We start from the raw sequence: 16,274 nt of genomic DNA on the forward strand, positions 1-16,274 counted from the left end.
ACCTCAGAACAGTCTACAACCAAACTGCCTCCAATATTCATATGGTTCTGATGAGTTTAGGATATAAGCTCTGTACCTATTACCCAGCAAAACCAATACTTCTTCAGAGAAAAAAAGGATATTTGGGAACTGTTATGGGCTTGTGTTCTCCCAAAATTACTATGTTGAAGTCATAACCCCTACTACCTCAGAATGTGACTATATTTGAATATAGGGTATTTAAAGAGGTGATTAAGTTAAAATGAGGCCCTTAGGGTGGGCCCTAATCCAATCTGACTGGTGTCCTTATTAGAGGAAATCTGGATGCACAAGAAGACACCAGTGCTGGGCACAGTGGCTCACACCTATAATCCCAGCACTCTGGGAGGCCGAGGCTGGCAGATCATGAGGTCGGGAGTTCGAGACCAGCCTGGCCAACCTGGTGAAAACCCGTCTCTACTAAAAATACAAAAATTAGCTGGGTGTGGTGGCGCATGCCTGTAATCCCAGCTACTCAGAAGGCTGAGGAAGGAGAACCGCTTGAACCCGGGAGTTGGAGGTTGCAGACACCAGGGCATGCTCCCACAGAGGAGAGACCATGTAAAGGTGACCATCTACAAATGAGGAGGAGAAGCCTCAGAATGAAACCAACCCTGCCAACACTTTGATCTTGGAATTCTAGCCTCCAGAGCTTTGAGGATATAAATTTCTGCTCTCTAAGCCACCCAGCCTGTGGCATTTTGTTATGGCAGCCCTAGCAAACTAATATATGAAGAGAGACGAAATCATTGAATGTAGTAACATAAAGAGACTGCAGAAGTAAATGCAGCTCATCTGTTGTTCAAGACTGGACTGAGACCTGTTGCTGATTTGGGCCTTGTTAATAAAGCAGGAAAGCGCTCTATCCCTGTGGGCATGAAGGACTGCAGGATTGTGGCTGCATGGTGGAAACATACCCCTTCCCGGGTATTCCTCTCAGAGTACTCTCTCTCACAGAAACATGGCTGAAATGTCCCCGCAACTCCATCACACACGCCCTCACAAGCAAGGTACATGATAAATTAAAAGCATTTCGAGGCATGGCCCAGTGTTGTTACCTCAGATGTTGCTAGAATAACATGACATTTATAAAAATACAACCCACTGGATGTTTGGCACTGCTTGGGAATGAAGAATATGTCCACTTAAGAGGCAATACCCGGGGCTGTCAAAAAATCTCAAGCCAGGATTTCTTTTTATAAACATTACCTATCTTTTTAAATTCTACAGTCTGGGAGGTGGAAAAAAAAACGTCTGCTTATTTCCAAGTCTCCTTTTACTTAAACAGAATAAACATAAACCATACACAGGAATATGCTGAACGCTCGGTCAGGGCACACTGACAGAACGGCTCTGTGCACCTGGCAAAAACCCTCAACACTCATATCCTTCGCGTGGGGTCTCCCCACCCCAGCACACACCTACACAGAGCTCACACTCTACCTACGTCGACCACCTCCAATCCCCATGCACACTGAAAGGGAGTATTTACAGGTTATATTTTCAGATACCAGCCAAATAATGTTCCCGTTCACTCTCTCGTCCACCTGAGACCATACAACATTTAACATCTAGAAGGATAAGCTCAGCCCCGAGCACATACGACAAGGGTGAGCAGTCATCGAGGAGTTCTCAAGCAAGGAGGATTTGCCAGCTTCCCTCTGAGGTCCAGGCCCTGAAAGGCCAACTGTGGTATGTTTGAGTTTCCATCAGGCCTGGTGCTTGCTGGCTGCGCCCATGCTCAGTAAGAACTTCACAGCCCAACTGTCCTATAAACATCTTGGCCTTCTGCTGAGAGCTGCTCGCCTAGCTCCTTGGAGCTGAGAATATGCTGTTTTAGAGCCGCAGGCTGAATCTTAACTAACACTTGGAGCACAGCTGACCTCTCTCTTCTCCAGGCCAGTGACTCCTCTAAACAGACACACACACACACACACACACACACACACACACACACACACGAACATGAACATAATAAGAACGGGAAGAAAAGCCCAGATTTTCCTCACCATGTGCCACCCAGCCATGTTTACACTGATCACAAGTCCTCAGGTTAATCTTCCCTGGCTGAAAACATTCACATGTGCAGTTTACCAGTGTGCAACGGATGGCCTGAAAAATAAAGGAGGAAAAAAAGGTCAGCATCTGTTCAAAGATACTATACTCTTTTCACCATTTCAATAAATATTGCCCACTTCTATTTTTAAAGATTTTATGATGGTAGGGGCCTGGAGAGTTTTAAAAATAAATTTAGATATCACCAAAATCTCTTATTAAAAAAGGTAAAGAAAACAAAAGCTCATTCACTAATACAATGTTTTAGGTCATTCACAGTAACCTTTAAATTACAAACTTAGAATAAAAATAAAGGATTACATATTCGATAAGATACCGGATTTACGACATCACAAATCCAAAAAAGAAAAAAGTATATTGCTGCTAATATATATTTCCACTTAAATTTCTCTACTTGTCAATAAAGCAAAAAATACACTGTAACAAAATAATATTCAAGTGAAATGTTTGTGAAAGTAAAATATGGCACACAAATATTATTATTAGAATATTACTTTTCTTCTGCTGAATTTCAATTAAATGTTGTGCTAAACTCTCAAATATATTTTAAAGACACTCCTGTGCTCAATAAGACCTAACATATTTCTATTATTATTTAATCACATCCCAATTCCTTGAATATTTTTTATTCTATTTTCGTTCCTGTTTTGAAAAATAAAAAACAATCCTCCTCTTATTTCAACAGTGACATAAGAAAGAAAATAAGTTTAAATTTTGGTTTCAGATCAGACATGGAACAGAAAAAATCATTTATGTGAATATTTTATATCTGGAACAGTACACCTGTATTGCAGAAAACTGAAAAACACACTTAAAAATCTTTCATTTCCTTATAACCACTTTAAAAAACCATCTCACCAGTTAATATTATAAAATGAATCCATAGAAAATTAGCATAAATGGAGTGTAACTTTTTATGAATAAAAACCTATGTTTAAGAATAGTGCTAAAGCTGACCTAAGCTCCCGGACTACAGTTAATAAATTTATCTCATACAGTTAATTCTAATTTGCATAGAAATTCTGAAGACAGAAGGGATTTAGTCTGATCATTCGCAGATTAACAATCTACTGTAACTACTTGAACTGCCAGGAAAAGATCTCTCTGCAGATTTAGATGCAATCAATGATTACTGATTCTGGGGTGGAGGGGTGGGCATGGGGATACCTGAAACTGCAGCTCTGTGCCTGAAAGCCATGCTCACTCACACAGCTCCAGATGCTCATATTTCTGGAACCATTAGGATTTTTATAGAAACTGTCTCATTTGTAACAGGCAGTATTTTGGATATTGTTAACATGACTGGGACAAATTCCATTCACAGAGAATAAGACTGAGCAGGCTTTTACCATTCCCTATGCTTTAGATCAGGCAAGTGTAAAATATTTCTCTTCCATTAATTAATATTAAATCTATGGATCCCTATTGGTTTCAGATGTTGGAGTCCTCACTGTAGACTCCATTCATACTTCACCCCCATCTTTAATTTGTGCTTCAATTTAGCACTAGGGAAATATTTAATTGTATAATCTCCCTGATATTTCAGGATCTCTCTTCCAAACATGGTCCAATTGTAGCTAGGTTGTAAACTTTGTTGTATATAGAAGTGATTAATTTGTAGACTATAAGGAGAAACGTTTCTTCCAGAAGTTCTTAAATTTCAATAATTTGTTAACTGAGAAATATATCAGAACATCCCAAGTCAGAAATAGTTTATTTAAATAACATGTTCATTAGTTAATGAACTCAAAACTTGATTGTACTGTGACCAAAATAAAAAGAGCTTAGAGGACAGCATTTCCACTAAAAACAAGAACTTTACAAATTATCTAATTATAAATTCAGATACGGGAACTATGTTGACATTAAAACATTCATATAATTTGAAGTGCAATAATAAAAGCTTTCATAAATGCTTTAAAAAAAATAGCTCTGCTTTACCGAAATCAAGGGAGGGCCAATAAAATGAGATGGTATTTCAAGGACAGTTAATATAAACTCCAGCACAAAAGACACAAATATTTAAATCATTAATTTGATAATATTTAATTATTTTATAAAAATATCCTAATTTTGTATTGTCTTTAAAGCACACTTTCATCAACTTTAATTACAGCCATATTTAAGACGAGAACAAATTAACAGACTGTGGATTTGATTTATTTTTATGTGTATTTATTTTTTTTACTGGTTGAATCATTCATTCACTTACTCTGAACAAGTTTATGATTCAAATATTTTGTCTTCCTAAATAACTTTACACATTTGGTACATTCGGGAATTCAACTTTTTAGATCATTATTCCTTTTTATGAATTCTATTCTTTTTGTACCTAAACATGCAAACACTGGAACACCTCAACTCCTTTTGTATATAAACACTTAAGCACTAGAATATCCATTTTGTATATCTATGAATTCCAGAAGGTCTATTTGTTTTAAATTCAGATTTATATAGACTACAATTTTCCCTTAAGAGAATTATATATATTTAAACAATATGGTCTAAATAAATATTTTGAGTAAGAGACTATTGCCGCTTCAAAGGAAGTTTTATTCTAAATAACATTTTTGAAACAGCATAAAACTTTGACATACTATTTATTCACAACAAAATAGAACCAACGTGATCACTGGCCAACTCACCCACACGCAAATAACATAAGTTATCATAAAACTATCAAAACCAGTTAAGCCTCAAAAATGTACATGCATTACAAGGAGACAGTTGGGAAGAGTCGAAATGAATATGCTTTCATTCTTGTGAGCATGTTCACAGCTGCCTCCATTCAGCTCATGTCTGAGTGCCTCCAACCCTCTTCTGGGCACTCGGGACAAGACCAAGCTGTTATATTCTGTGAACTACACACTTTGAAAATGCAGGTATGCAGAAAGGAGCAGAGAGTTCAGTCAGAGTGTTCCCACCTATCTATGCAGAGATTAGTATTCAGGTCTGGGTAAAGCAGGCCTCCAGGACCCAGCCTAACAAGGGTGCCAGGGTGCCTTGTAATTCTTTCCTCAATTTCCATTATTGGAAACTGTCTGCTCTTTTCTTTATACCTGCATTTTCAAAGTTTGTCGTTCACAGAATGTACCACATACAGCTTGGTCTTGTTCCGAGTGCCCAGAAGAGGGTTGGAGGCTCTCAGACATGAGCTGAATGGAGGCAGCAGTGAAGATGATCAGCATATCCCAACTCCCCAAGAACAACCATAACAACAACCATACATTTTCTTAAGTCTGCACCTTATTGAAAGTAATTATTCCTTCTGCTTACCTTTACCATTGACTTCTTGAAAGAGAAATCCATGCACCCAGCAACCAGTGCTCCCACTTCCTCACCACCACCTACATTTTAACTCTACAATCCAGATTCTGCCCCACACGTGCCTGAAACTGTCTCTCTGAGAGGCAATGTTCTCATCCCATCTGGTCCTTTTTTCTAGTCTCCTTGTCCTCCCAGACTGTGATGCAGCTTGCTGCACTAACTCTCCTTCATTCCTGGGCTGTAGAGACTGACTATCCTAGTTTTTCTGGCATCAACTGCTCTCTCCTCTCTCTCTCTCTCTCTCCACTGTAAATAAATACAGGTGTTTCCCATGGCCAAGCTCTTCATTCTTTAATTTGGCAACTTCACGCCCTCCTACAGCTTCAAATATCACCACTAAGCAAAAACCGTCACTGTGGAGCCAGGCACTGCCTCTTAAGTGGTGGGAAGTGGATGGCAGTGTCCCTGTGATCAAGGACTTGATAGTTTGGGGTTTGGGGGCAGTGAGTTTAGAGGAGAGACCCTAACTAAGAACATAAATGAAACCCTTACACAGATTGGAGGACTATCTCCTATGCATTATTCCTCCTCTACCAAACCTCAGGATTTTAATTTATTTATTTACAATAGTAAATTATTACCTGTTATAATAATAGCTAGATGTATTGAATATCTTCCATTTTCCAGACACTGTGCTACAGAGTTTACAAACATCAGCATTCTTAGTTCTCAGAAAATAGCATAAAGTTGTTACTACTATTACTTTTATTTCACAGAGGAAACTAAGGTAGAGATAATTTACTAACTTACCTAAAGTCAATCAACTAGTAAAGTCACAGATCTATAAATCAGAAACAACTCTCCATTCCACTGACTAGGAATCTTTTTTTTTTTTTTTTCCTTCTGTTTTTCAAAGAGACAGAGTCTAGCTCTGTCACCCAGGCTGGAGTACAGTGGTGAGATCATGGCTCACTGCAGCCTCAACCTTTCAGGTTCAAGCAATCCTCCCACCTCAGCTTCCCCAGTAGCTGGGACTACAGGCGTGCACCATCACGTTGAGCTAAGAATCCTGAGCTACGATTCCATTCACAGCAAGTTATAGGGCAGAGTTTTCACTGATATTCTGCCTTTCTCCAAAGATTATGTATCCCTTCCTTTCCTGTCTTTTATTCTCACGGTTACTACCATAATTCCAGTCTTTTTTTCTAGACTATTTAAACTGTCTCCTAATTAACCTACACGTTTCTCTTCTCTCCCCATCTGCATGAACATTCTCTCTTCTTAAGAGATCCACACGGTTGATTGCTATTTGCTTGACTGAGGTTATTTTCACCCTCCTGTCAGATTCTGCCTACTAGAGTAGAAACAGTGGCTGTCCATTCTCCTTGGTTGGACAGCTGACTCCTCTGCTATCCAAATTCTCAATCCCTACTTCTCCAACACCGTGCTCTCTAGCTTCCCTCCTTCCAAGTCCTGCTTAAGTTGTTAACGGCTACTTATTCTTTGGAGTTCAAGTACCACTCATTTCCCAGGGCAGCTGCCCTGTCTCCCATTCAAGACAAGTTCCCCACTAGACTTCTGTATCATAATTGATCTGTCATAATGCTTAGTACAGGTTGTGAATATTATATTTATTGGTGTGATTATCGATATGGGTTTGTTTTCCCCTCTAGAATTTAAGTTCCATGAGGGCAGGATAGACATGTCTGTTGGGCTTTCAATGTATAGTGGCAAATAACAGGTGCTCAAAAGGCACTTTAAAAATACATGATTCTCTGAGCCCGCTTCCTCATCTGTAAAATGATAGTAACAATGACATTGCAACAGTGGCAAAACACTCAAATGAAATAATGAAGAAAAAGTAAGTGTTAACCTATCCGGCAACAGGAAAAGCTCAATAAATGACAACCATTTATGGCCACAAGAAACTTTCCACATATTACATTTAAATGATTGTTTTCTCTCTTATGATTCTTCCCAATGTATTGTTTTACTCCAACACCTTGCAAATTGCTTAACACATATTTAGTCTTAATAAATAAATGAACACTTTGACATACATAATACCATATTATTCATACTATAGTCCTCTAAGGTAGGCACACAGATTATTATTTCTGTTTTACTATTATGGTTCAGAAACGTTTATGTGTTTTACACGGCTCTTAAATGATCTAGTGGAGAAGAAGACAAATCTCCCAATTATGACTCAGTTTATTTCCATTACCTGTAGAAAACTAAAGAAAACTTACAATAAAAATAATTATAAATATTCATATGCAAAAGTACATCTAAAATATACAAAGAAGAATAATTTAGTAAAAAAACTAATCAATGTTTGGTCAGTAACACTTTTATATCTGAATATTAAATAAAAGTACATTTGAAAGTATTTTGGATGCATTCCAAAGCTCTAATACAGAGGATAGGTTCTGTTATCACTAAAGCTGAGGTCTCTAGCTCTACAGTTGGTTCCAATTCTGCAAGTTTATGTGAATTGAACCCCAATCTTCTGACCAAATCATATTTCTCAGGAAAGCACAAATTGTTGTTTCAGTAAATATATAGGGTACTTCACAAAAGAACTACACACAAGGCTAACTGATAAAACTCCTATTAGCAGTTGTTTAGGGACACTTATCCCAGTTATCTGACGCAAATTTAAAAATGCAAAATATGGCCTTTGGGCAAATAGAAGCATAAAGCACATATTCTGAACGACTAATCATAATGAGAGGGGAAAAAACTGATTCCGGTTCTGGGTTTTGGTGTTCCACACACAAACAAAACCAAAAACAACTATTCACAAGGAGCTCCCTTCATGGGTTCATTAACCTTCACCAATCTCCCATACATAACTAAAAAAAAAAATTTTGTTGTTTTTTTCTGAGACAGATCTCGCTCTGTTACCGAGGCTGGAGTGCAGTGGCATAATCTCGGCTCACTGCAACCTCTGCCTCTTGGGCTCAAACAATCCTCCCACCTCAGCCTCCCAAGTAGCTGGGACTACAGGTGCACACCACCACTTCTGGCTAATTTTTGTATTTTCAGTAGAGACAGGGTCTCACCATGTTGCCCAGACTGGTCTCAAACTCCTAAGCTCAAGCGATTTGCCCGCCTCAGCCTCCCAAAGTGCTGGGATTATAGGTGTGAGTCATTGCACCTGGCCTAAAAGCCATTTTTTGTTTGTTTGTTTGTTTGTTTGTTTTTGAGACGGAATCTCACTCTGTCACCCAGGCTGGAGTACGGTGGTGCAATCTCAGCTCACTGCAACCTCCGCCTCCAGGGTTCAAGTGATTCTCCCACCTCAGCCTCCTGAGTAGCTGGGATTACATGCACGCACCACCACACCGGGCTAATTTTTTATATTTTTAGTAGAGACAGGGTTTCACCATGTTGGTCAGGCTGGTCTCAAACTCCTGACTTCGTGATCCACCCGCCTCGGCCTCTCAAAGTGCTGGAATTACAGGCGTAAGCCACGGTGCCTGGCCCTAAAAACCTTTTTAACTCTTCTTTCCCCTTGTTAATTTCTGGAGAGTATAGCAAGATTTACAATATGAATTATGAAATTTTAAAATATTTTAAAATGCTTAATAGTTAAGTACATGACCTACATTAATATTAAATTATAGAAAAAGCTAGTCATTAACATAAGCAGCCACTCAGGTGTGGTGGCTTAAACCTGTAATCCCAGCACTTTGGGAGGCTGAGGCAGGAGGATGGCTTGAGCCCAGGAGTTCGAGACCAGCCTGGGCAACATGGCAAAACCCGGTCTCTACAAAAAATATAAAAATTAGCCAGTATGTACAGCGGTAAAAGAAAATGCATCACAATAATTAATAAAATGCTCTAATGGAGGGAAAAGAAGAAATTTTTTTTTAATTTTTCTTTTTGAGACAGAGTTTTGCTCTTGTTGCCCAGGCTAGAGTGCAATGGCACAATCTTGGCTCGCTGCAACCTCCGCCTCCCAGGTTCAAGAGATTCTCCTGCCTCAGCCTCCCACGTAGCTGGGATTTCAGGCGCCCACCATCATGGCTGGCTAATTTTGGTATTTTTAGTAGAGACAGGGTTTCACCATGTTGGCCAGGCTGTTCTTGAATTCTTGACCTCATGTGATCCACCTGCCTCGGCCTCCCAAAGTGCTAGGATTACAGGCATGAGCCACTGTGCCTGGCTTAAAAAAAGAAAATTTGTTCTTCAAAGACATTTCTATCCTAGCAGGGAATAGTGGCTCATGCCTGTAATCTCAGCAATTTGGGAGGCCGAGGAGAGCACATAGCTTGAGCCAAAGACCAGCCTGGACAACATGGCGAAACCTCGTCTCTATAAAAATATGAAAAATTCGCCGGGCGTGGTGGCATGCACCTGTGGTTCTAGCTACGCGGGAGGCTGAGGCGGGAAGACTGCTTGAGCCTCAGAGGTCAAGGATGCAGTAAACCATGATCATACCACTGCACTCCCAGCCTGGATGGAAGAGTGAGACCTTCATCTCACACACACACACAAAAGACGTCTATCCTAGTGGACGAAAATCTGGAATAGCAAATTATCTGTAATGAATCTGAAAGCTAATTATTCCAGGATTGCCATAGAATACACTGCAATAAACAAACTAATGGCTTGCTAGCATTGTGGATGCAGAGAGTGATCTTATAAACATGACCAAAAAGATGAAACAAGCACTTTTATATAGGTTGTGTATGATATGCTAAGACAGTACTTCAAACATTGCCACAAAGACTAAAAAACTCACATGATAGTAATGGTGATTAAGTCAGCAAATATCTCCCTGTATAATTTTCAGAATTTATATAATACTGCCTTGGGAGAAGAAATCAGCTTCCTAACTGGCCACATCACAATACAGCTTGAGCGAAAAAATTCTGCATTTTTTCTTGCACGGTGGACAACTACTAAGCTTACTTAAGACCAGCATGAACTACAAGACTACATATCAATTTCACTTGTACTTGATTACAAAACTCATCTATGACGAATGTAAAAGAATATCCACCTGTTGTACTGAAGAGTTTTGCAACCAAGTATCAAAAGGAGACAAGGAAGAGGTGAGTCAGAAAGATACAGAACATGGGTCAAAAGATCTACGGTTTTAAACATCCCACAAAAAAGCTTTATTAACAACCTAAAACGTCTATCTAATTCTGACCATGAGAGTATTAATATAAATCTATAGTTTTAGTAAGGTGGGTATGTTTTCTCCATTTATACAAAGAAATACATAAATCTAAGTCTGAATGAACAATGCACACAGAATTTACATGCTATGATTATCAGTGATTATAAAACTGATTATAAATGTTAAGGGTCCACAAGCATGTTAAACCATAGTGCAAATGTCACTACTCCTAATGTAATAGTAACAGCAGCAAATGAGAAACAATGAAGTTATTCTGTCTCCTTAAAAAAATCTACTCAAACATTCATATGATGGAAAATTATACCTAAAAGTATGTCTCTTATTTGGTGGTAACCAGAAAATTAAAAATTAATTAACAATTCAAAGAAAGGTCCTTACATTTGTCTAATTGTTTTTAATGTCATATGAAGAAATAGCAAGCTGGTAAAAAATGATTATTTTGTTGTACTTAATGTGTTCTGAAATTTCTTGGTGTCTTCTCAACGAAAAAACACATTAGATCTTATAACTGAGACAGGAGATTCGCAAGAGCCTGGGTTTGCTGGACTCACTAAAAGGCCAGGTACCATTGGTTTAAACTGCAGGCAACATGGTAAAAGACAAAAAGCTGGGCAATTTAAAGATGGTTAACCACCCCTCCCCTCCCCCCAAAAAAAACCTTGAGAAAAATGTTATGAACCAAAGAAATACATCATCTTCACAATAAACACATCCAAAATAATCGAAAGAGATTCACTGGGAAAAGTTGACCTTTGAACATCAAATGATGTTAAAAATCAGGAGATTTAAAACTTCATTTTATAAAACGCTATCCCTCCATCCACTGACAAATGGATAAACAAAATTCAGTATATTAATATAATGAAATTTTATTTGGCCATAAAAAGGAATGAACCACGGATACATACTACAACATGAATGAACATGAAAAACACTAAGCTGAGTTGCAGGAGCCAGTCATAAAAGACCAAATATTATTATTCCATTCAGATGAAATGTTCAGAAGAGGGAAATATGTAATGATAAAAAGTAGATTAGTGGCTGCCTTGTGGGGGATGAGGCTTAGGGTGACAGCTAAAGGGCATGGAGTTTCTTTTTGAGGTGATAAAAATGTTCAGTGATAACTGAACCTAACCATAAATATAGTAAAATACAGTGAGTATTTTAAATGGGTGGAATGTATGGTAAGTGAAACATATCTCAATCAAGCTGTTTAAAACAGGGAAAGGGTGGGAGGAATCCCACTGCCCCACCTACTTTCTTTTAGTGGTGTTAAAACCATTTAATCCCATAAGATATCATTCCCCAGGAGACATAATGCAGCACATCTTTTGCCCAGTAGGTCTCCAATACACAAATGCTAAGTGAGTTAATACACGGACGGTGAACAAAGAAATTTTACTGTTGCTTATATTTGAAAATCCTTTCTACTTTGAAAATATTAAAACCTAATATATCCATTTAAAAATCCACTGCCATTTTTCTATCCGGAAAAATCCAGTACATCTTTCAAATATTTGCGGGGCAAAAAAGCAAAAGCAAAAACAAAAACAAAACTTCTCAGTTATGATGCTCAGCAATATTAATATCAAAGTATTAAAAAAATTCTAAGATAATTTGTTAAAAATTGACAATGCTGAATTCTGTCATGTATACCAGCAAAAAAAAAAATCCTCAATTTACTGTGATGAAAAAAATTATTTCAGCAAAAGCCAAGATACAAATTTGGCTTAGGGGGAATAGGCAAAGAGGGAAAACCAGAAACTTCTGGGCATATGTTTATATATGAGTGTAAATGTTTCTACAACTGTGTGAATATATAAATACAAACAGGGAGAAAGGGACACACACAGGCATATAAATTTTCCCAGACAGAGATCCAATAAGCATCCATAGTCATTACCTACTATCACAACCTACTATCAATCGATATAAGAAAGGCCCCATTTAAATAATTTAGAAGTTCAGAGTAAAAATCAACAGCGGGATATAGCCAATTATATAAGGAAAATACCCATGCTTCTATGGCATCAAAGCATACGCAAGCTTTGGAGTGCGTGTGTGTGTGTGTGTTTCAATTAAATTAGGCCTATGATAATACATGCGATTTTGTTAGGCAATTAGTAATATTAAAGAAACATGAAATGAAAAGGCATTTCAATTTAGGCAAAAACATTTTATTTTCTTACCTAACATTTAACAATTAAGATACTCCATTTATTGCCTGTATACTTACAAATTTTACAGGCTACTTAGGCAGCTGTAATAACATAAATAGAAAGTAAATAGTCCTTCCATGAACAGACCTATCACCTAATTGAAAATAAGGGGTTAGCTCGCCATTAAAAAAAGAAAAACACACATTTTAACTCAGTCTATATTTACCAGAACACCTAACTTTATAGAAGGAGGCAAAGCACTTCTCATATCTGATGATGCTAAGTAATAATAATCTCATTTCATCTTAATGTTGAATCAGCAATTTTGTATTCCATTGATATATATTTTATTCATTTTCACTAATGCAATTTGAAAGATGGTAATGTGATTACATTTCTCTGTGGCATTCATGAAAACAATTACTAATATAATATGATAGAGAAGACATTAATAAGGACAGGATTTATAATGAGATGCAAAAAGACTTATAAACCTTTAAGCACTTTACAAAGAAACTATTCCTCATTAAGCAAGAAGCAAGACAAGATGAAGCTTAAATTCTGGTATGTTTCAAAAGCACCTCCAATCCTAGAAAGAACAATCGATTTGCATGATTATCACACACTTTGGTGACGAAGCAAAGATGTACAGAAGTAACACAAAAGTTGTCCCAAGTTGTGCCAAATATAACACCTCATCCTAAGTCAGTATCTTTCCCTTCCCAGATGCAATGTGAAGGGCTCCCTAAAGAAAGGAGTTCCTCTAAATCTTTACCCTCTTTATAAAAGGAGCTGCCCACCTTATTTCAAATGCCAAAGCACTGTAATCAATCCATTTCCTAAGCAAGAGCATAGGTAGGTGACCTTTTAACTAAATTTACTCCTCTAGGTTTGTGATAAAATTTACCCCAGTAAAGCAACAGGGGAGAAAAGTTGTTACGTTTTAGAATTTAACATTTCAGATGACAACTGATTACCCAGGCCAATTGAGACAGACTGTAAGACTAATAATATCCCATGTTTGTACAGTGCTATGAAGCTTGCATAACATTTCAAATACATTCTTGTATTTAATCATCAAAATCCCTAAAATTAGAGATTTTTTCAAACAGCAGAAAATGAGGCTCTGAGATGTCCCTAAATGGCCACAGCTACTAATCCAGGGCTCTTTCTACTCAGCCTGGGCATGGGAGGAAAGGAGCCTGATAATCCCCCTTGTTCCCCTCCTCCTCAAACAAATCTGAGATTTCCTCAGATATGTTTTCAGTTCCAATAGGAGCTTATAACCAAATAGGAGATGTGAACAAAACTACACAAAAAGGGAGAGGGATGGGTAAAGGTTTAAGCAACTTGAAAAGTGAAAATGCTAAGTAAGCAGTTAACCATATATACTAGGATTTTCTGCCAAAAAGTGGTACACTTTTAAATAAAGAAAGTGACCCAGCACAGTATTTTATAGTCTTTATATGGTTATATTAAGAAATGTCAAAATCTGAAAACAGTGAGACAAGATATTCCCAGGAACACTTGGTTTATTCTACAGCATTTTACTTATACCTGTCTTGGGACTGTCCATCAGCGACACATCTCAACAAACATTTTAATACCTTCTATTGTACATCTAACTGTGTATCATAATTATCTCTGATTATAAAAGAATATGTTTCTTCACTTAAAAGCAGGTATCAGCAAAGGAATCATACCTGTTACAAATAATAATAGTGATATGATGAACAGTCTATGTGCCCCCTTATACGTTATTTATGTTAGGTCATAGATTCCCCAGGGGTCTGTGCTGAGACCTGGACTGGCTTCATTAGCGCTTCACATAAATCAATGAAGGCACATCTTGATTTTACCAGTGGCTAGAGTCACTGGAATTTTTCAAGTGAAACCTCTCAGGTAATACATTTTTAAAAAACACAAATACAATGTTACCATTTCTTCTAAAAGGTGGTTTTCTCAAATTCAAAGGGCTAAATTCATATGCTCAGAGAAATTCCACAAATTTCTATGACATCTATATGAATCTGAAGGTAAAATGTGTGCTAGTATGCTGAAAAAAAATTATTCTCTTTTTTCTTTTAAAGATTAGATGGTTTTTAAAAACAGACATAAAGAGAAAGACAGGAAAAAACAGACTGACTAGCTAAAAACAAATGCTTCAACATCACTGAGCAAAGCAAGAGACCTATGTAATGGTTGTCAGGAACTTTGAGCTAACTCTTGAAAATTAAGAAATAAATACAAAGCCTTGTGGAGAAAAAAAAAGTCTTCTAGAACAACGTTAATGTCATCTTGGGCATGTGGACTGGGTTCACATGTGTGTCAGCTGAATCAACATAATGGGCTATAACAGCTTCGAAGCAGCTAATATGGTCCATTGGGTCAATAATCCGTGAACTAAGAAGGATTTACTTGATAGACTATAAATGGCTCGTAAGAACTCAAGAATCACTCCATCAGATCAAAAATCCAATTTTCATATGGTGCCTTTCTACAAATTAGTCAAAAGAAAGTAATGGCTATGAAGGACTTTAAGGTTTATCAGCTACAAATTCATGTTTTAAAGAACAGTGTAGAGGAAGAAATAAAAATTAAACATCTTGGGGCAGGGGAGATCAACCTATTTAAGGGGAAAAATATATTTTCTGAAGGAAAGCTAATATACAGTATGAAATATCCAAGGGGCTTTTTATGTTTTCCTATAGGTACGTGAATGTACAAATACAAACCACTAAAATACATACACATATACATTCATATTTTTCTCTCTCTCCCCTCCAGATATCTACACACACTAGGTAAATTGCAAAACCCGATTTCTAAGATAGCAACAATGCAAAATGAAAATTCGTATTTTATTTTTACCTCTTTACACCATTTGTTTGTGGATCTATGGAGACATTTGGGACAGAATATGGATACTGGCAAATTCTTTCATTTTCACTTACAGAGAAGCAGGCAGAAGAAACTACAAAAGGTAAACAGTAAAAACTACAATATATTTTGAACATTTAAGAGAAAGAGGAGAGTTGATTCCCTGGCTGGCCAACGATTATACAGCCAGCATTTTCAGATAACTGCAACTTCTGCCCTCTCTAGACTGCAGAGAAACAGGAGCCTTTACCCTGTGATTGTGAATTTCATTACATATTCATGCTAGGTGATTGTGGTTGTAGATTAATTTTTTAAAAAATAAGCCTATCTACATGAATAATTGTATTTACTAAGTTCATGGCAACGAAGAAAAGCAGAGAAAAATACTCCAAAAATATAACAGGCTGTAATTAGAATTCTTAACAAGAAAGAATTCCTTTACTCGGGAAGAAAATGTGATCTATCACCTCTCTCTCAAAATGCTATTAGCTTCTCTTCATCATAGGAACAACAAAAAGAAATCATTTCTTTTTCTTTTTATAGAAGTGACACTGAATAAAATAATGGATGTTTTTACATCAAAGTATATTAGCTATTGACATAAGCTCGGTCCTCTTAACTTTTACACAAGGGAAAGAAAAATTCCAATAATTCTGAACTAGACAGATAAAACTTTTCTCTGTGGCTACAGCCATGTACTATTGTATGTAACTGCT

General features: G+C 37.2%; 1 protein-coding gene across 39 annotated transcripts in view; it reads right to left on the bottom strand.

The window, feature by feature from the left end:
• Window positions 1-16,274, bottom strand: part of BNC2 (basonuclin zinc finger protein 2) — a 461,168-nt gene that overhangs the window by 171,453 nt on the left and 273,441 nt on the right. For 37 of the 39 annotated variants that reach the window (XM_047423506.1, XM_047423501.1, XM_047423494.1 and 34 more), the window contains one exon: window positions 2,028-2,130. In XM_047423506.1, the coding sequence (XP_047279462.1) occupies window positions 2,028-2,130 (103 nt within the window). Of the gene's footprint in view, window positions 1-2,027; window positions 2,131-5,370; window positions 5,611-16,274 lie in introns of those variants that run through there. The other 2 variants (XM_047423502.1, XM_047423498.1) reach the window with 1 other exon arrangement.

This window comes from Homo sapiens, chromosome 9, assembly GCF_000001405.40.
Source record: "Homo sapiens chromosome 9, GRCh38.p14 Primary Assembly".
NCBI classification, from domain to species: domain Eukaryota; kingdom Metazoa; phylum Chordata; class Mammalia; order Primates; family Hominidae; genus Homo; species Homo sapiens.